This window comes from Homo sapiens, chromosome 2 (genome assembly GCF_000001405.40).
Source record: "Homo sapiens chromosome 2, GRCh38.p14 Primary Assembly".
NCBI lineage: Eukaryota > Metazoa > Chordata > Mammalia > Primates > Hominidae > Homo > Homo sapiens.
The window spans coordinates 206,463,214-206,485,032 of NC_000002.12; the positions used below are offsets into that span (position 1 = coordinate 206,463,214).

The 21,819-nt window shown below is 39.1% G+C and overlaps 1 protein-coding gene across 3 annotated transcripts in view; it reads left to right on the forward strand.

Moving 5' to 3' along the window:
• The window catches only part of ADAM23 (ADAM metallopeptidase domain 23), a 177,596-nt gene that overhangs the window by 19,682 nt on the left and 136,095 nt on the right, over nt 1-21,819 (forward strand). For all 3 annotated transcript variants that reach the window (NM_001410985.1, NM_003812.4, XM_005246932.4), the window contains exon 3: nt 18,019-18,095. In NM_001410985.1, the coding sequence (NP_001397914.1) occupies nt 18,019-18,095 (77 nt within the window). The remainder of the gene's footprint in view (nt 1-18,018; nt 18,096-21,819) is intronic.

The following is a 21,819-nucleotide window of genomic DNA, read 5'->3' on the forward strand; positions in this document are numbered from 1 at the left end:
CTGAGATGGGAGTATATCCTGGATTATCTGGGTGGGCCCAGTGTAATCACAAGGGCCCTGATACAGTCAGAGAGAAGGAGATGTAATGTTGGAAACAGAGGTTTGAGTGATGCGAGGAGGGGCCCACAAGCCAAGGAATACAGACAGCCTTTAGAAGGTGGAAAAGATTAGGAAACAGGCTCTTCCCTAGAACCTCCAGATGGAGCCAGCCCTGCCAACACCTTAACTTTAAACTTTAGACTTTGATTTTGGACTTTTGACCTCCAGAAGTGTAAGATGATAATTTATGTTGTTTTAAGCCCTGACATCCAGGGAAATTTGTTAGGGTAGCAGCAGGAAATAATCCAGCAGTCAAAAATGACTACTATTCTTTGTCCTGGGGAATAGTGCTGCTATGTCCCAATGTGGGGCCGAAAAGGAAGGTTTAGGAGGCTGACAGGAAACTGAGCCTGTTCAGCTCAGGAGGACTGTTGGTCATCTGTGTGCATATGTTAATGACCTCGTTGTCCCCGGGATCAGGGGCAGGTCAGGATGAGATGGAAATGTGGGAGCCTTCACCAGGTAAATGGTATGTAGAGACCTCGGGGTTTCACCCATGGAGAGACTGTATTACGTGAATTGTGGAAAAACAGCTTAGTAATTTCTTTCAGAGGCTACATAGAGACCTATTCCCTCTCATTGCTTGCTGTCTAAATTATAGTTGTTTTCTTTTGAGTCATCAAATGACATTTCAAAAGACAATATGAAGCTGCCACTTTGGGAGAAAGAAAGCAATATTAAGCAGCTTTTTCGAAGATCAAATTTCTGGACTCTGTAGATAGTTGCAATATTTCTTCTGTTATTATTTTTTGAAGGATACATATGAGCTCATTTGACAGATTTAAACCTGTAGTTTAATTTGGGGGGAAGGCTTGTATGGCTATATATTTTTAAAAATCTAGTTCTTTTCAGTTGGATTATATTTAACTGTTGAAAGAACGAAACTTCCCATTTTTGTTTGCATCAGTTACTTCTTGCTGTTTTGTTTCAAGGGCCTTGGTGACAGCTGAAAATAAGCTTTGAAAATAAAGTTGAATTTTGACTGGGCATGGTGGCTGACGCCTGTAATCCCAGCACTTTGGGAGGGCGAGACGGGTGGATCACCTGAGGTCAGGAGTTTGAGACCAGCCTGGCCAACATGGCAAAACCCCGTCTCTATTAAAAATACAAAAATTAGCCGGGCGTGGTGGCACGTGCCTGTAGTCTCAGCTACTTGGGAGGCTGAGGCAGGATAATCACTTGAACCCAGGAGGCGGAGGTTGCAGTGAGCCGAGAACGCACCACTGCTCTCCAGCCTGGGTGACAGAGTGAGACTGTCTCAAAAAAAAAAATAATAATAATAATAAAAAGAAACAAAAGTTGAATTTTGTGTTGAGGCAACACATCTAGAGGAAGCTATACATACATCTTCTGTACATAGAGAGTAGGGGTTCTCAACCAGTTTGCTCCCCGCTGCCAACACTCCCCCATAGGACATTTGGCAGTGTCTGGAGATATTTTTGGTTGTCAGAACTGGGCGGGGGAGGCTACTGGAATCTAGTGGGTGGAGGCTAGTGATGCTGCCAAATGTACCACAGGGCACAGGACAGTCCCCTAAAATCAAAGAAGTATCTAGCCTAACAGGTCAATAGTGCTGAGGTAGAGAAACCCTGCAGTAGAACTTGTAAACTTATCAGTTAGGAATATGGCAACTGTTATCTTTCTGTCACTCAGCACTGTTTCCTACATTGCATCTAGTTGCTCAGTGAACCAGCCAGCTTAGTTTTTTTCTGCCCTAAGTACTACAACATTTTCTTTCTTTGTTTTTCTTAGAGATGGGTTTTTGCTCTTTTACTCAGGCTGGAGTGCAGTGGTGTGATCGTTGCTCGCCGTAGCCTCAAACTTTTGGGCTTAAGCAATCCTCAGCCTCTTGCGTAGCTAGGACTGTAGGCTCACACCACCATGCCTGGCTATTTTTTTCTACTGTTTGTACAGAAAAGGTCTTACTGCGTTGACCAGCCTGGCCTCAAACTCCTTGCCTTAATTCATCCTCTGGCCTCAGCCTCCCGAAGAATTGAGATTACAGGTGTGAGCCACTGCATCTGGCCTACGTTCTTGCAGATTCTATAATTTTTATTTTGTGGGAAATTGGCTAATTTAGTATTCACTGGAATAGGAAGCAGAAAAAAAAGAGTTTGCTTGAAGTCTTCATTTAAATGGATTATAAAATTTTCTTTTTGCCAAGATAAAAGTGTTAAATTTATTATAGTCCTCTACTTTTGGAAAAAAATTAATGTACTGTAAGTAGCTTTTATTTTGAGCTCTTAATCAAGTATTAATAGCATTATGTTTTCTCTAATTATGGCTAATTAAATATTGCCCAGATATAGTTATTTGCTTATTTCAGGTAATTAAAAACATCATCTGAAATAACCGTAATTGAAATAATATAAAATTGTAAAAATTGCTCTGTTTGTTTTTTATTCTTTGGCACTATTACAAAATTTTGAAGCACTGTGAATTTTTTTAAAAATTCAAGAAAAGTCTTCTTGCTGTCATTTGGTGACTTAAGTAGCAGCTCGGAGAACAGATGTAGGAATGAAGTGATTTATATAATGCTTCAGAATCTTTTTGTTCCTGAATTTCACAATATAAACTTTAATTATGAAATTGGTAAGAGATTTTGAGAAACCTACATTATTTAGTAGGATGTGGGATATATCTTAATTTCTGTGACTTAAAATGAGGTCTCTAAGATGGGAGATATAGTTAGTAAATAAAAATAAATAAGTTTATGCCTTTAAAAATTCCTAAAATGAGATATTGTATATGACAATGTATATGATGATGTATGCCTAAAAGTAGTGACATGTTTGAAATATTAGAAGCAGTAGAGATATCATGACTTCCAGAACATGGAAGTGAACTTTCGGAAAATCAAAGATAAACATTATGTTGTTTCTTAGGAATGTTTAATATATATACATTCATGCATGTGATCCATGTGGTTTGTTAGAGAGCTGTGTCTTCATTTGCTGATCATTCTTTTGAAATTTTAACATGTATGTGCAAGACATAAGAAAGTGATGCTCTTGGACTTGAATTCTTTTTGGGAAGTTTATAGTGCATAATATCTCTTGGTTTTCAAAGTGACACTGTCCTAATTAAAAATGTTGATTTTAAAACCCGATTAGTATGTTGCTTTACAATTGACTTCTATAATTTTTTCTCTGTTATCTTAGGTTTCTCATTTAAACTCTAGCTCTATCAGACAGTAAGTTATCCACAGAATTATATACCCTCCTTTATTCATTTACTAGGATTTTTTTATCCCTAATATGCCCTTATTTACTCATTCATATGTCTCTCATTTACTCACTTGTCCATTACTACGAAATTTATTCACTCAGTAAACATTAAAGGATATATCTTTAATTAGTGTATTAGTCTGTTCTCAAATCGCTATAAAGAAATACCTGAGACTGGGTAATGTGTAAAGAAGAGGTTTAATTGGCTTATGGCTCTCCACACTTTTAAACAACTAAATCTCATGACAGCTCACTACTGCGATGCCAGCTCCAAGGGGGATGGCTCTGCAGGCTATACAGGAGGCATGGCAGCATCTGCTTCTGGGGAGGCCTCAGGAAACTTTTACTCATGGTGGAAGGCAAAGTGGGAGCAAGGTGTCTTACATGGCAGGAGTAGGACCGAGATGGGGGGAAAGTGTGACACACTCTTAAACAACCAGCTCTCATGAGAACTCACTGTTGTAACAACAACTCCAGTGGGAATATTGTTAAACCATGGAAAACCGCTTGCGTGATCAAATCACCTCCCAACAGTCCACACCTCCAACACTGGGTATTATAAATGAACATGAGATTTGGGTGGGGACACAGATCCAAATCATAAAATTCCACCCTGGCCCCTCCCAAATCTCGTGTCCTTTTCATATTGCAAAATCCAGTCATGCCTTCTGAACAGTCCCCCAGAATCTTAACTCATTCCAGCATTAACTCAGAAGTCCAAAGTCTTTTCTGAGATAACGCTAGTCCCTTCTGCCTATGCACCTATAAAATCAAAACCAAGATAGTTACTTCCAAATTACAATAGAGGTACAGGCATTTGGTAAATACTCCCATTCCAAAAGGGAGAAATCAGCGAAAAGAAAGGGGCTTATAGGCCCCATGCAAGTCTGAAACCCACCTGAGCAGTCATTAAACCTTAAAGTTACAAAATAATCTTTGACTGCATGTCTCCCATCCAGGGCACACTGTTGTGAGGTGTGGCTCCCAAGGCCTTGGCAGCCCTGCCCCTGTGGCTTTGCAGAGTTCAGCCCCCAAGGCTGCTCTTAAGGGCTGGCATTGAGTGCCTGTGGCTTTTACAGGCACAGGGTGCAAGCTGCTGGTGGATGTACCATTTTGAGGTCTTCAGGATGGTGACCCCTTCTCACAGCTCAACTAGGCAGTACCCCAGTGGGGACTCTGTGTGGGGGCTCAACCTGACATTTCCCCTCTGCACTTCCCTACTAGAGGTTCTCCATGAGGGCTCCGCCCCTGAAGCAGGCTTCTGCTTGCACATCCAGGCTTTTCCATATATCCCCTTGAAGTCCAGGCAGAGGTTCCCAAGCCTCAACTCTTATATTCTGTGCACCGGCAGGCTTAATGCTACATGGAAGCTGCCAAGTTTCATGGCTTGCACCCTCTGAAGCAGCAGCCTGAGCTGTACCTGGGCCTCTTTTAACCATGACTGGCCGGAGCTAGAGTGCCTGGGAAGCAGGGAGCAGTGTCCTGAGGCAGACTGCAGTGCCCTGGGCTTGGCCAGTGAAACAATTCAATTCTTCCCTCCTAGGCCTCTGGGCCTGTGATGGTCTGCTGTGAGAGTCTCTAAAATGCCTTGAAGGCTTTTTTCCCATTGTCTTGGCTATCAGCACTTGACTCCTTTTTCCTTATGCAAATTTCTGCAATCCCCTTGAATTTTTCTCCTGAAAATGGGCTTTTCGTTTTTCACCACATGGCCAGGCTGCAAATTTTCCAAACTTTTATGTTCTGCCTCCCTTTTAAACATAAGTTCTAGTTTCAGTTCATTTCTTGACTCATGCATATGAGCATAAGTTGTTTGAAGCAGCCACATCTTGAACACCACTGCTTAGAAATTTCTTCTACTAGATATCCTAAATCATCTCTCTCAAGTTCAAAGTTCCATGGATCCCCAAGGCAGGGGCACAGTCCAGCCAAAGTATAATAAAAGTGACCTTTGCTATAGTTCCCAATAAGTTCCTCTTCTCCATCTGAGACCTCATCAGGCTGGCCATCTCTGTTCATGTCACTATGAGCACTTTGGTCATAACCATTCAACTAGTCTCTAGGAAGTTCCAAATGTTCCCCCATCTTCTGTCTTCTTCTGAGCCCTCCAAACTCTTCCAGCCTCTGCCTGTTACCCAGTTCCATGGCTGCTTCCACATTTTCAGGTATCTTTATAGCAATACCTCACTCTTGGTACCAATTTTCTGTATTAGTCCATTCTCACATTGCAATAAAAAAATACCTGAGACTGTTAATTGATAAAGAAAAGAGGTTTAATTGGCTCATGGTTCTGTAGGCTGTACAGGAACCATGACAGCATCTGCTTCTGGGGAAGCCTCAGGGAGCTTTTACCCGTGGTGGAAAGCAAAGTGGGAGCAGTCATTCACATGGCCAGAACAGGAGGAAGAGAGATGGGACGAGGTGCCACACACTTTTAAACAACCAAATCTCATGACAACTCACTACTGCGATGACAGCTCCAAGGGGGATGGTGTTAAAACCATGAGAAACCGTCCTCTTGATCAAATCCTCATGATCACCTCCTACTAGACCCCACCTCCAACATTGGGGATTACAATTGAACATGAGATTTGGGTGGGGTACAGGTCCAAACCATACCATAGTTTAAAGGATTTATTCTTTATATCTAACTGCCTATTCACAACTCCACTTGGGTATGTAATGTGCATATCAAACTTAGATTCAGAGTCCTGAATTCCTACCACCACCTCCTTCTCCTGCAATTTTCCCCATCTTAATAAATTGCTTGCTCCTTTTGGTTACTCAGGCCAGACATTTTAGAGTTTTCTTGTCTCCTCTATTTCATTATAATCCATGTCTACTCTGTAAGTGAGTCCTATTGACTTTGCCTTCACTATCTTCCCAGAATCTGACCAAGTCTCATCAACTCTATTGTTATTTCCCAAGTCAAACCCCTATCACCTCCTACCTGGATTATTTTGCAAAAGTCTCTTAAGGCTACTCTGCTTCTCCCTTGCCCTCTGACCACTTTAGTGCATAGTCCGCACAATAGCTTCCAGTGAATTTTAAAAAATGGAAACCTGATCATATCATTCCTCACTCAAAATTCTCAGCAAATTACTATTTCATTCAGAATAAAAGGCAGAGTTCATACAGTGGCCCACAAGGTGCTACACAATTGACGCCTCATTGGTTCTGTGACTATTGCCTGCACAACTCCTCTAGTCTCCCTCCACTTGACCCACACTGGCCTTTTTATTGCTATTCTTTGAATACACCAAGTGTGCCCCTGCCTCGGGGCTTCTACAACTAGCTGTTCCCTCTGTCTGGGATTCTCTTTCCTTAGGTATTTACATGACTTGCACCTTCACCTAGTCTTTGCTCAAATATCAGCTTTTCAAAGACTCCTTCTTTGACCATCCTATTTAAAACTATCACCTCTTTCTTCTAAAAACTCCCTAACTTATTTTGACTCTTGTCTACTTTAATCTTTTTACCTATATCACTCATCACTATCTAACTTACTTTATATTGTTGGTTGTATTAGCCATCCCCCACAAAACACACACCCTAAAATGTAAACCCTGGAAGGCCAGGGCTTCTGCTTGAAATGTGGTAGACACACGTGATTATTTGCTTAATGAGTAAATGATTTCATGTATGATGTAGAAGCCAACAAGGTAATATATAATCTGAGGAAATAGATATATTCCTCAGATACATAATAGACATATTCTATTTTTATTTCTATATGTCTTCAAGGCTCCATCTAATTTTCTAGGTTCACATTTAGAAAAAAAAATGGAGTTTTAATAGGCCTAAAACATTACATGGACGTGGTGAGACCTATCATTTGCGTATGAAAATAGGAGATTCTGCATAGTGGTCAGTATTCTAAATGTTAGTTTTAAAAATTGTGCAAATACAGGTTGAGTGGTTGATCGTTTCCAGAGCTCTGTGGAAGTTCGATATTAGAGAACATGAGGTCACGTATCAATATTAGCTTTTCTACATCTAGCTTTGGGTAAAGTATGTGTAGTACACATTTGTTTTGAGTAAAATTGTGAAACAGGACAGTTGTGGGCCTCTATGTTGAGGAACAGGCCTTAATCATGTTACTTAGGAAGTCTACTGGCACCTGCATTTTTGTAAAATGGAGAAATCCATTTTTGGCATGACTCCCAATGTGAAAGTTACTCTTTTCATCCAAAGGGGTAGAATACAACCCATCCATAGTCGTAGATGAGGTCAGAATTCAGTGCAAAGGACAGAGCCAGACATGGCTGAGGACCAGAGAACACTGAACTTTTCCTAATCTGTAGCTGTAGTTCTCTGTAGATAAAAGGGATCTCTGCCCCAGTAATGTGCAACTTGCTGAGGGTAGTCAAGGAAAGCAAAGACCACTTAGGAATATCATTGTCAAACAGCTGTATATTTAACATGAACTTTGAGCAGTCTCATAAGCAGAGCCTGAAAAATTCTGCAAATGGAAATATCAGCTCTGGTATAGAGATCCCAACATAAATCACTGGGTAGAAACAGTATGAAACCTATCAACAAGGATCAGTGAATCGAGGTATTTCAGGAGAAGAGAGCTCTGGCCTGGACAGGTCTGCTCAGCCTTCTTTGATTACATGTTTTCAGTAATTTATTAGTGAGGGAGAATTGGAGGTTAATATTTGAATCTACTCTATATCATTTATGGTTTGCTAGGTAGAACAATGCTAAAATGAACTGTATAATTACTGTACCATAATTTTCATTTTGTATTTCAGAATTTCTCATTCTTAACGAATCCTTGTGTAGTCATCATAAAGACTCAAGTTAAAGAACCTTCTATTGCCTTGGATTGATATTTGCATTGACATGAGTCCACTGGATTGTTATAGTCAAAATTCCAAGGACCAGAGTAGGCAGACTAGGGAAGTAGGACTCCTTAAGGAGGGTTGCCTCACATGAGGCTTTTTTTTTCTTTTAGAATAGTATTCACATTATATAAGCAAATTTAAAAAACTGCCATGTAATGAGTCACAGACACTAAGCATGGTGCTTGGTGTCTTGCTTTCCAAAACTTATATTTTATTTCCATTCTTTTATTTAAATTATTTAGTGGGTGTTCAATAATTCTGGCTAGAAAGACAAAATATGTTCTTGCTTTATGACACAAGTGTTAGCAGAGAGAGAAGTGTTCCTTGGAGTTGTGCAGTTTGGTGATGTAGGAATTGACGAGGAAAAAGAACAAGGTGAATCACACCTCAGCTACTAGATTAATGCACCACATTAAATGTTACTATTCAGGAAGGCAGTTACCAAGAAGCTTCCATGGTAACTGTTGTCATAGTTGTATTTTTACTCATCTTTCAAAAAATATATGAAAGTGAAATAATACTGCTGTAGTGATACTTGTGCTGCTTTACCCATTTTAAATAGCAAGTGCTCCAAAGGCTTGTAATTCAGTCTTTCTCCTTAGTTGGCATTGCCAGTTTAATATCCAGCAAACATTAATCACTAACAGTAAATGTATAGAAGACGTTTCATATACATGTCCAAGGATGCTTTGTCAGTGAAAGTGTATTGTTACAGAGTCCTCCAGGGTTGCTAAATAATCACTAGGGAAAATCTTAGTTTGACCTCCCCCATACCCACCATAAGATTAAATGTAGCTTCTCTTCTTTGGCTGGCCATGAAGAATTTTAAAAAGAAATATTTAGTGTGGCTAATGTGATTGACTGGAATATGTATTTGGATTATCAGTGCCTACTTCCTCTTTCTCTTCAGCGTCCATCTTTTGCATATTTAAGAGTACTTCGGCTGGGCGAAGTGGCTCATGCCTGTAATCCCAGTACCTTGGGAGGCCGAGGTGGGTGGATCACTTGAGGTCAGGAGTTCAAGACTAGCCTGGCCAATATGGTGAAACCCTGTCTTTACTAAAAAAAAAACAAAAATTAGCTGGGTGTATTGGCGCACACCTGTAGTCCCAGCTACTTGGGAGGCTGAGGCACGAGAATTGCTTGAACCCAGGAGGCGGAGGTTGTGGTGCTGAGATCATGTCACTGTGCTCCAGCCTGGATGACAAAGCGAGACTCCATCTCAGGGGAAAAAAAAAAAAAGAGTACCTCAAACTGAGGTACATAAGAAAAGAGAGGAAGATGAATTTGGAATCTCTTTAAAATTGATTTATTTAGAAAAGAGCTCTTGTATAAGATTTGGTCAGAAGTTAAAATTGACAAATCCATAAATCCAAGCTTTCCTTTTTTCTGTACCATCAGATCGCATAATCGAATATTGGCTAGATTTCTTTTAGAGTAGAAGTTCCATCTTTTTCGGCTAGGTTGGCACAGAGAACAAAGTCACACGGTGATCTGCTTCCTTTAAGTAGGAGATGTTCATCGTGGGTTGTGAGAAGAGTGTGCTTTGTTGATGCTTTGGTCTTGTTTCTGTAATAGCCTTCAAACGGTATGACTTAAGCTTCCTAATTTAAGGCCAAAAGATAGATTGATTAACATTTTCGGGCATGTATGTTTTCGGGCATTTTTCGGGCATGTATGTTTCCCCCCTACTTGTCATTCTTGTAAAATGCTTTATTTTATGATAAACTGTCATGTTTAACTCACACCACAATCCACATTGCAGTATAACACTCCAGAATGGAAGGCATCTTGTGTTTTACTTTAAAAGCATGTTTCTTAAGCATTTATTTGTTAGCAAATACTTATTAACACTTTATAATTTCATTCTATTAAATAAATCCTAGAAGAGCTGTCTGAATTCTTTCTTTAAATGCGGAGAAAGTCTTCCTCATAAGCCATTCTCAGCTCTCTCCAGCCCCCAGCAGACTCACTCCACAAATTCAAATGCGCTTGTTGCCCTTACTCCAAATTTGGTAATTAATCATGCTTATATTGTGTGTGGTATCTTTACAAATAATATTTATGCCAGGGGTAGTGGCTCACACCTGTAATCTCAGCATTTTGGGTGGCTAAGATGGGAGGATTGCTTGAGGAGGCCAGGAGTTCAAGACCAGCTGGGGCAACACAGTGAGACCCATCTCTAAAATAATAATAATAATAATAATAATAATAACAACAACAACAACAACAATAACGATTCTTATTTAATTGACATATTATATTTTTCACTCTTTTCAGTTACTCATTTGATTTCCTTAACCATATTATAATCTTTTTGATCTAAGTGTTAATTCTCGGCCAGGCATGGTAGCTCACACCTATAATCCCAGCACTTTTTGGGAGATCAAGGCGGGTGAATTGTTGAGCCTAGGAGTTTGTGACCAGCCTGGACAGCATGGTGCGACCCCATCTCTATGAAAAAATAAATAAAAATATTAGCTGAGAGCAGTGGCATGTACCTGTGGTCCCAGCTATTTGGGAGGCTGAGGTGGGAGGATTGCTTCAGCTAGGAGGTCAAGGCTGCAGTGAGTTGTGATTGCACCACTCCACACCAACTTGGGCAACAGAGTGAGACCCTGTCTCAAAAAAAAAAAAACAAAAAAAAAAAACCAGAAAAACAAAACTAACTCTCCTATACTAATCTGCTCTAGTATCTTACATAAGGTAGGTATTTAATACAAATTGTTGCTGGTTAGCCCATAATACTATCAATTGGAACATGGTAGAAGAAAACATGATAATATTTTTCTCCTTCAAACTACCTGTTTAAATGCATCATGGCAAGAATGTTCAGCAAATTACCCTAATTTGCAGAACCGCCTTCATGTAGCATTTGCAGCTGTTTCACTTCTGTGGAAAATGATTCATATTATTTTGAAGACATGACAACTTGAACAAGGTCAAAGCATAATACATAATGGTAATTAGCAATAAAAATACAAAATTTGCAAATTTTGCTGAGTGTAAATGCACATTGGAATTTGCTAGATGGTGGCTAACTATCCTGGGAGGGAACTTTAGGGTGGGGTTGATTGATACCCTTCCAAAATGTTACTGTATTCTTTTTTCTCTTTTTCCTACTTTACTGTCTCCTTCCTAAATGACTGAGCTTTTTCACTGTGGCTGAGCTACATTGGTCACATTATTATTATTGCTATTTTCTTTGAGAATGGGTCTCATTCTGTCACCCAGACTGAGTGCAGTGGCATGATCTTGGCTAACTGCAGCCTCAAACACCTGGGCTCAGGTGATTCTCCTGCCCCAGCCTCCTGAGTAGCTGGGACTAGAGGCATGCACCACCATGCCTGGCTAATTTTTGTATTTTTCATAGAGGCAGGGTTTCACCATGTTGCCCAGCCTGGTCTTGAACTCCTGGCTTCAAGCGATCCTCCTGCCTTAGCCTCTCAAAGTGTTGGGATTACAGGCATGAGCCACTGCGCCTGGCCGTCAGTTGCATTATTGTATTATTTAATCCTCGCACACATCATGTTGTTAAGCTATTATTATTTGTATTTTATTGACCGGAAAACATTGAGGCTTGCAGATGTAAGGACTTCTGGCATAAGTATGGCACTTTTTTGTCATTTAACTAAAACTAACACCTCATGTTTCTTCCTTTGATCTATGACCTTGGACAATAACATTAGTTAATCTCTCTCTGCCCTTTAAAAAAGTTTCTTTTCTATAAAAGGGTAATAAAAATGTCTGCTGTACCAATTGCATGGGGTGCTGTGTTCTAGATAGACATGACAGTACTTTGAGATGATTAAAATGTAAGAAATGTGAGGCATTATTATTTTTATCATAACACAAACCTGTGCAATCACCAGTGTATCAATTTAGAATGAGGGATTAGAACAAAATTACAATTAAAAATGGTCTGTTGATATTTTCTTTTGGACTTCAAAACTTTTAAGATATATTTACATATTTGGATTTTTGCATTATACAGAAAAAGATTCACAAGCTGGACTTTCATGTTTCTCTAGCTACAGGATAGGTCCAAACTAGTCCTCTTTAGAAAAACCTCTGTGATTGAAAAGAAGTGACTTCTTTTCCTCAAACTTATTTCAATTTAAAGTTGACATTTTATTCTCATTGATATTTAATTATCTGGGATGCTGGATTCTGTGCCTACTGTTTTCGTATGAAAAGAAAAACATACCAAACAGCCACGCTGATGAAAGTCTTCCTGGTGAAGTGGACTCTTGTTCTCAGCAGCTCAACCCATGATGACAAAGGCAGGGTCCCTCTAGCATCAAATTAGCGAATTTTCCTCCTCCCATCTTGTTAGTTGGTGAATTTTCAAATCTGCCTTCTCTGAAACATTATAAAATGTCCTGAATCTCAAAAAAAGGTGATGTTTTATATTCTATGACCTTTCTCCACCATATTTGAAGATAATGGAGTGGAAACTCTTGAAGGGTCTATTGAAAAACTGTAAAGGTAAGGAAAAGAACCGTATGCAACAAGATAAAGGAAATAAAATACTTCCTGAAAAGGTTATGGTTACACACACACACTCACACACCTGTCACATGTATACAGTGTAGCTGCTGTATTCAGTGTTTTAACAGACATAGAATAAACATTGTTTTTTCTATGTTAGAATAAACAGAGAAGACAGGCATCTGCTTACTGACTTTTGCGGTCTCTAATGCCCTCTTTCCTGAAGCCGAGACCTGTAGCCCTCTTCTTTACGAAGTTGAATGTGAATCATTCCACTGGTGTTTGCTTAGGCCTGCTTGATACCCTAAAGGGCTTCTTACCTCTGTTTGTAAAACATTTTCTTGTCTATTGATATTCCACTTTGGGCATGTTTCGTTCATTACTTAAATGAATATCTCCCTAAATAAACTGAATATATCTTAAGATCAGGAAACCACTTCCAAATTCTGTTATGTTTCTCACACCACCTATAGTTTAGAGCAGGGGTCCCCAACTTCCAGGTCACATTGATATCAGGCTGTGGCCGGTTAGGAACTGGGCCACACAGTAGGAGGTGAGTGGTGGGTGAGTGAGCATTACTGCCTGAGTTCCACCTCCTGTCAGATCAGCAGTGGCATTAGAGTCTCATAGGAGCATGACCCCTATTGTGAACTGCACGTGCGATGGATCTAGGTTGCATACTCCTTATGAGAATCTAATGCCTGATGATCTGAAGTGGAACAGTTTCATCCTGAAACCATCCCCCACTCCACCCCATCCGTGGAAAAATTATCTTCCGTGAAACTGGACCCTGGTGCCAAAAAGGTTGGGGACCACTGGTTTAGAGCATACTAAGGTGAAATATATGTCTCAGAAGATGTGATGATCCATAGTGTAGGCACTCAGTTACCCAAGTTGCTCAATTTCTACTAAATTTTACAATTTAGTAGAAATTCAGCCTTATGATATTTTTTGAATTCTGGGAAAATGTTATTTCCCATTTTCAGTTCCAGTTATGGGTACGCTCTACAGAACTCACAAATTCTTGCCAAGTAGTGAAGAATACTGTTTGAACACCTATTATGTGTGAAACATAGTTGCATGAAAACATGTATATCCTGCAAATGGCTGCCTTTTATTTTTATGATTAGATATAGAGTTATTTTTCTTCTTGTTTTTATGTCTATATTAGCTATTCTAGAATATAAGTCCCAAGAAAACACAATAGTATCTATTGAGCCTATTTAATGTACCCTACACAGAGTTGAGCATGTATGATTGCTTAATGTCATAACATTGCTTGATGATAAGGTGAGAAACAAGTCTTAGCCGAAGAACCCAATAGCTTTCTTAAAGTTATTTAATATACCATTAGATGCCATCCACTAGAAAGAAAAAATAAAAACAAAAGCACATTGCTAAGACGTGTAAACTGTTCTCCAGTGAAGGAGGTTTGTGTATATAATTGAGTTTAATTGTTTTTCTTTTCAGAGCTCCTGTAATTTCCCTGTGCCAGATTCTGAGTTAAAAGAAAAATACTAAAGTGGTTAGGCAGCAGCTGTTCTCAGTCCTTCAGGGTGGTAATTCTGAGCCCAGGGACATGCTCATTCTTGTTGTGAAATGATGTTCTTTGGCTATAAAACCCTGCATTCTTCCCCAGTGCTATTATAGTGAATGTCCTTATAAAAGCAAGGCTGTTTAACAGATATCCCGAAAGAGAAAATAACTGATTATGACCTAATATGTGGTTCATGAACTCTTCTCTGAAGCATTCCTAGGATCTGATTTTGTATTACTGAACACATTTCTAAACCTCACTGTATAGTTCCTTTGTAAAAGAAGAACAATACTGTAGGTAGTCTTTGTATTTTTAATGGATTTCAGTGATGCTGGTCAGTTCATTATCTCTAAAATCTGTTAAATCAACTAAAAATGATATGGCTGTATATTGTAAGACTTTGTACTCATCCCAGCCATTCTTCTAACTTTTCTACCATTTGGAAGAAGCAAGCCAATATTCTGTTAAAAAAAAAAAAAAAAAATATATATATATATATATATATATAAAACAACAATGTGGTTTATAAAATAATGACTCACTTTACATGATTTGAAAACATTTAAAATGGGCATATATAAAAACTGTGTAATATTTTGTTAAAGAAAAAGTGACAAATTGAAATGGACTGCATAGCATCCAGAAGTTAAACACTATTTTAATTGTGTCTAAGACAGGGCAGAAATAAAATGATAGGGAAAAGTAGCACTTGTCAGGTATTTATTTTGGTATAGAGAAGAATCTGTACTGTCTAAGCACTTGCAGAATGTATAGCAATGGAAAGAGAAACAGAATGTAAGCAAAATAACATACATCAATATATTTAAATGACTTAAAATGGATATAAATGTATTAGATGAAACTAATTCCATTTGATACATTGACAAAGAAGATGAATATGGTGAGGAAATCTTAAATCATTTTATAGAAAATGTGCTTCCTCTTAGAATTAAAATATTAAAACATTCTTACTGATAAAGGTAATAAAATCAGGTTTTTTTTTTCCTATGGATAAACAGATATCTTGTTGCTGGCATGATAAATTGCTTCAGTTCTGGAGAGTAATCTGTTAAGATGTTTGAATCATAATGATATGATGATGATGATGATGATGATGATGATGATGATGGCGTGTGCCAGAAATGGTGCTGAGTGAGTTTGAGGGAGTGGCCATTTAGGAGAAGGCTCATTGTCTTGGCCACATGTTCTTGTTTGCGATCATAAATGTCACTGATCATGTCACGTGAAGCCTGCCAGTCTCCATCCCACCTTTTCAGATTCATTGTTTGACATTTCATCTGAAAACCATTTTCCTACAGGCCATATTCATTTTTTAAAAAATTTAAAAAGCTTATTTTTCTCACATTCATTTTGACTCGATTTTTATAAATGTTTTCCTCCATGCCTTGAGTGTCTTTTCTTTCTCTGACACGTGGATTCTTATTCATCTTTTGAGTTGTTGTTCAAATAGCACCTTGTCAGTGGATCCTTTCTGCACCTCTCTGTGCCTGGATGGGGTTCAGCCATGGTCCCTGTGGCCCATTAGACAAGCTGAGGCTGACAGTTGTACCTGCCCCTCTGGAGACCATCACTTCTTAGAGGGCGGAAGCTGTGTCCCAGCTATCTTTATATGCAAAGCAGGACTTAATATGTTTGTGTGGAATGATTGAATGCAAAAGCAAAAGGAAAACCCAGTATGATTTACTAGCTCTTTGATTAAATTCTATTAAACTGAAGCTAGTCACATTGACTTGGTATAAACCTATTCTAGCAATTATCAAATTGTGTAACTCCTACAATTCTGTAAAATGAAGGTACTACATTTACCACCAGATTACCTTATTTTGCAAGAGTGTTGTCAGTGTTTGTACTTGTCACATCACTTATTTGCTATAAAATAAGCCTTTTACTGAGTCTCTGTCAAGTTCTTCTTAGTGTTTATAAAGATGTTCAAGGAGGTATATTTATCAGCTCTTTTAGACCAGGGTGCCACTAATGAACTCATCTCTACTGTATAATATTCTTAAGAGAAACTATACTTAAGGATTTATCTTATTCTTAGGAAGTAAATTTTACATACTTAAAGCTTTTTTGATCTAGAGCTGAAAAATCTCTCCTTGTACAAATTATTCATCAATATAAATATCTTTATGCAAAAATTAATGCTTCAAGGTACAGAATGAATTTGAAGACTAGTGGATATTTGTATTGAATAGAGGTTCTGTTGTGGATAACAGAGACCACACTTGACAGAAGTTTCTCTCTCTCTCTCTCTTTCTCTCTCTCTCTCACTCATAGTTGTATGGATACAGGAAGCCCACAAGTATGGTGACCCTGTTCTAGAAGGTTGTTTGGAATTTGACTTGGTGTCCTATGGCATTAAGGATTTAGGAGCCTTGTTTCTCATTGTTCTGTATTTAAAATTTAATATTTGTTAATTTCCTTTTTACATTTTATGGATTATTATTGAGTGACTATCTGATTTGGCAGTGTGCTTGACTGAAAGTATAAGTCATGGTTTATTTATAGTGTTTTATGGGTTTGGTATGGCAAAAAGATCTTGACAATGAATATTTGGTGAATTACTTGGAAGGTCAGATATGCTGGGGAAGAGTCATTAATCTAGACCTGTTTGCAAGACCCCTGTGATATATGTTGTGGAGCTTACCACCCAGGGGAGGGATGGGAAAGGGAGAGACAGGGAAGCACAAATAAAGTGCTTCCAAAGCCCTGAACGTGAAGACTGTGTGAAGAAAGACTTCATGAAAAGCATTGCAGGTGGGACGCCTTTGAAGGATGGGGAGAGTTTCAATCATCATAAATACAGGGAAGGCAAAGAGGAGCATGGGGTAGTATTGGGGGGAAGGAGGGAATAGAAAGTACTGGGAGGGAGATGCCTGGTGTGTTCATGCTGGTGTCCAGTTACCATGCATGAAGCACTTCACAGATGATTTGCAGCACCCACTGTGCCTTAGGAATGCAATTCTGGAGGAAGGACGTTAGTGAGTCAAGGAAGTACAGTGTAGGTGTTTCATTTAGCCTTGTTCTTTTTTTTTTTTTTTCCTGATAGTGTGACAAAGGAGAGTTTTATGTTAGCTAATACTTTGACAAAACTTTATTGATTTGTTAATTTGCAATATTCAAGATGCTTCTGTGAGCTATAATAATCTTTAACATCTAGTAAATAGGATTCATGTTTAGATGGAATTATCTTTGTAGTTTGAATTAAGACAAAATAATGACAATATTTATAAACATATGACTCTTAAAGGGGGACATAAGCTCTCAGTATTCACAAAAGGCCAGGTTCTAAGTGCTTTCTGAAGTTACAAGGTTGTACTCTCCCATTTTACTGTCATATTCTGCTGATACATCATTTAGAGAACGTTCCAAGAAAGTTCTAATTCCTGCTGAAGAGCAGAGCACTGACATGATTTTTCACTTAGGTGTGCAGAAAGAGTTGTTTAGCTTTATGCACAAAACGGGCTGAAATCAAGCTTTAATTAGTCAGACTTTTGCATAATTCGTCACGGTCACTTTGTAAGTCCAGCAGAATATGCTGTTGGTTTTTATCTTAGTGGGTTCATTTTCAAGGATGTGTTGTCTTATTAGCTCTTTGCTACCCAAATATTTAGATTTTCCTAGCAAAACCATGATATTGTATCTAGTCTCCTAAAGAAATGAATTGCTATATGATGATACATAAGGAAATGAACTGATACATAAAAGTTATTCGTCTTAAATATCATTCTTGATAATAATCTGTCTTAAAGACAGGAAAGTAAGTTAAGGTTCTTCTGTCTTTTTGAATCCATAGGCTGTCCATCTGGCCCAGGCAAGCTTCCAGATTGAAGCCTTCGGCTCCAAATTCATTCTTGACCTCATACTGAACAAGTGAGTATTTAGACATAATCTTCTTAAGAAGCAGGTGCAATAAAGCTTTGTTTTTATAATATCGGTTTAGTCAAAATAATGTCTGTTGTTTAACAACTATTTTCTAGCAGATTATTATAGAGCATGTAAAGTATAAAATTCTGAATGGTGAATTATATATTTTTTTCCGAAATAAAAGATATTTAACATGTTAAGCATCTCAAACCCAGCACTTACATATTATAATTTTAAATGGAATAAATATTTGAAGTAATCCAGTTAATTAAATGTTAATTATAATCATCACTATATATAAGAAGCATGATAAATTTACTGATTCAAGTATAATTTGACTACAGTCTAGAAATTTCTTCCATTTACTCTTTATAATGCAATTCGCATGACTTCTGTGGGAAGAACAGAGTAAGTGATGACTTGCAAATACCTATTTTGAGAAGATTCTTTGCTTTATAATTTGCTCTAATATGGTTTCTTAGAAATTTTGGTCCTGATGAAAATTTACCCGATTGTCTCTGAGCATGTGTTTGTTGATATTTAAATGCTGTTTCCTAAGTTCAAATCAGTTGTACAGATGTCTTTGTACAAAGTGTGAACAAGAGCTGTTGACTTAACTAAGGCTCTTCAGCCTCAAATAGATCTAGCAGTGAGCCTTTCTTTGGTGAAAGAGATTTTCTATGTGGTTTTCTTGAGTTACAGAAATTATAGTCAGTATTTTAAGCTTTTGTCAGTATTTTGATCAGGACTGCATCTTTGCAAGAAAAATACCTGTTAATGCTATCAAACACTATAATGTAAGTGACCACAACCAATATTTGAGAAATTGCAAAGAATTATAAAGAACAACTATTAAATTTTTTGTATGCCAAATTCTGTGAGCTCTGCAGAAAAAAATGCAAAGTCAGCTTGGGTGTTCCTTACCAAGTGTTATTGCAGCTTTAAGTCAGAATGAATCAGCAGAACTCAGAATTGCCTATGTAAAGGTATTGCAGGTTTTCCTCTTTGGTTGAGTTCCGTTTCACCATGCTGTGTCAGCAGTTTGTCTGCCTAAGGGACTTGTCTTGCCAAATCTTACACTATGTTGAGTGGCAAGATAGAGCTAATTTTAGTGTAAGTCCTCAATTCCTTTAACTCTTACTGCGGTGGAGACCATCATTTCAAACTGTAGCGAGATGATCGCAACCAACCCTGCTGTGTGTTTTGAGCAATAAAATATCTCAGCCATAGCAGAGCCTCCCAGTCAATTAGTACATGGCAGAGAAAGGGTCATATGGGATGGCCAGGGTACTTAGAGGTCTGGAAATGTGCCAGAAGTTATCAGTAACATTTAGCATGCAAAGGAATCAGGTTGAGCACCTATTATGAGCAGTCCCTGACTTGAGGAATTTAGAGTCTACTTGGGGGAAGGTTGATAGACAAGTACGTAATTTTAGAAGAGTATGAAATATGCTGGAGGTTAAAATGGAATGTTATGGTAGCACCAAGGAGTGGCAGCTCTCAGGCTGGAGGAGTGTGAAAAGGCGTCTTGGGAAAGGTGATGCTTGAGCTAAATCTTGAAGTGTGTTCTAGGCATGTGAGATAGTATATCTGAAGAGGCAAGGCCACGTTGCAGTGTGGCATGTTAGAGGAGCATGAGCCTTTTGTTGACCTTCCTCATAAATGACAAGATTGAGACGAGGAAGATGAGTTGGGAGAGGTAAGCCTAGGGACAGCTCAGCTCATGGAAGTTCTGGTATTTCACGTGTCAGTGCTGGGCCATTATCCCCTAGACTGAAAAATCAAGTCAGGGGAATAAACAGAGGTCCTGTTCTCAGGAAGTGCTAAGAGGCGTGGAGAGGGAATACTTTCAATAAATCTGCAGTTGATAAAAATTATTAGGATTGCTCCATGTGGATAACAAGGCAGAGAGGATAGTTAAAGCCAACAGAGGTACCTCGATTGGTTGGTTGGTTTGAGGGTGATGTCTAGCTGAAATGGGCAGTACCAGGGAACAAACAGGTTAAATGGTGAAGGGAAGAGAATGTGGCATCAGAAGAGACATGATAGATTTGAGGGGCTTTGGGACATACATGTGGCCATGTCTAGGAGGTAGCTGGATATAACCTCAGGGGAGAGATGGGAGCTAGAGATAGTAGACTTGGTAGGTATTTTTATATAAATGTTAATGACCAACATGGCTGTGAATGAGGTTACCGAGGGAGGGTAGGTAGAGTAAGGAGACAGAAGCTGAGAAGACAGGTAAGAGGAGGGGAGAAGAGGAGGCACCCATGAAGGAAATTGAGAAGGAGTGATTGGAGAAATAGGACAATCAGGAGAATGATTAAACAGAGTTTCAAAATGGGAAGGTGTGATTTACAGTGTCATCTGCAGTAGAGCCATCTACTGGCACATGCTGTGGAATAATCTAATGAGGTAAGAGGCAAAATTTGCCCTTTGGATTTGCCATTTGAGCAGTCACCGGTGGTTGGAAAGCAGCAGTTTCAATGAAACTCTGGGGTGGAGGAAATGAGAGGGGACAGAAACCGGGTTACAGTAGGCTGGGAGTGAATGAGAGGAGATGATGTGGAGGCAGCAAATATCCATTGAGGAGGTTTGGATGAGAAGAAAAGAGAGCAGAAGACATTGGGATCAAGGCAGGGCTTTTTAATGATGACAGAGCAAGTTGGCAGAGCAAGTTAACAGAGCAAGTTTGGTGGACTGAGAGACGGAGCTGATAAGAGTGGGAGGTTGAAGATGCAGAAAGGAGAGAGGAGATATCTATAGGGCAAGAGCTGGGTAGAGACTGAAGGGAATGAGATCAAAGCCCAAGGGCAGAACTTAGTTTTGAACCGGTAAAGACAGGTTGTCCTGCACTGGTGTGAAGCTGTAGGGTGTGTGCAGATGGAGATTGACTTGCAGGTGAGGGGATGGAGTTGAAGAAACACATTTCTGAAGTTATCTACTGTAGGGGTTGGGATGGAGAGGGAGGTTGGGTTGGGGCTTGAGGAAAATGACAAAATTGCTGGGAAGAATGAGTGAGGAAGCCCATCAAGGTCAAATGCAAGAATTTTTGAGCAACCTTCATTAGAAATCATGTGCTATGTGTTAGTCTTTGTGTATTTCTTTCTGGTGTTGTTTTTTATATTTTATTTGTATTATTTTTAAAAATTGGAGTGCTTTGTCACTGCAGAGTGTGAATGAAGGAGGCAGACTGTAGTGTGGACCCAGGGCTCAATCTCTGTGGTAGCACAGAATAAGAACAGTGTAGGCAAAGCTCTTTGAATACTCATGAATAACTTGCATAGTTAAGTATCAGGATCCAGTCTGGGTTAGAAGGGAGATGAGGTCAAGAGGAGGCTATGAACTGGGGACAAATGGAGGTCTCTGAAGGGAAAACTAACTGCAGTGAGAGAGAGGCCATGAGAGCTGCACTCAAGTGCTATCTCCCTTGATATGGTTTGGCTGTGTCCCTACCCAAATCTTACTTTGAATTGTAGCTTTCATAATCCCCATGTGTCATGGGAGGGCCCCAGTGGGAGGTAACTGAATCATGGGGGCGGGTTTTTCCCCTGCTGTTCTTGTGATAATGAATAAGTCTCACGAGATCTGATGGTTTTATGAAGGTCAGTTACCCTGCACATGCTCTCTTGCCTGCCGCCATGTAAGACATGCCTTTGCTCCTCCTTCACCTTCTGCCATAATTATAAGGCATCCCCAGCCATATGGAACTATGAGTCCATTAAAGCTT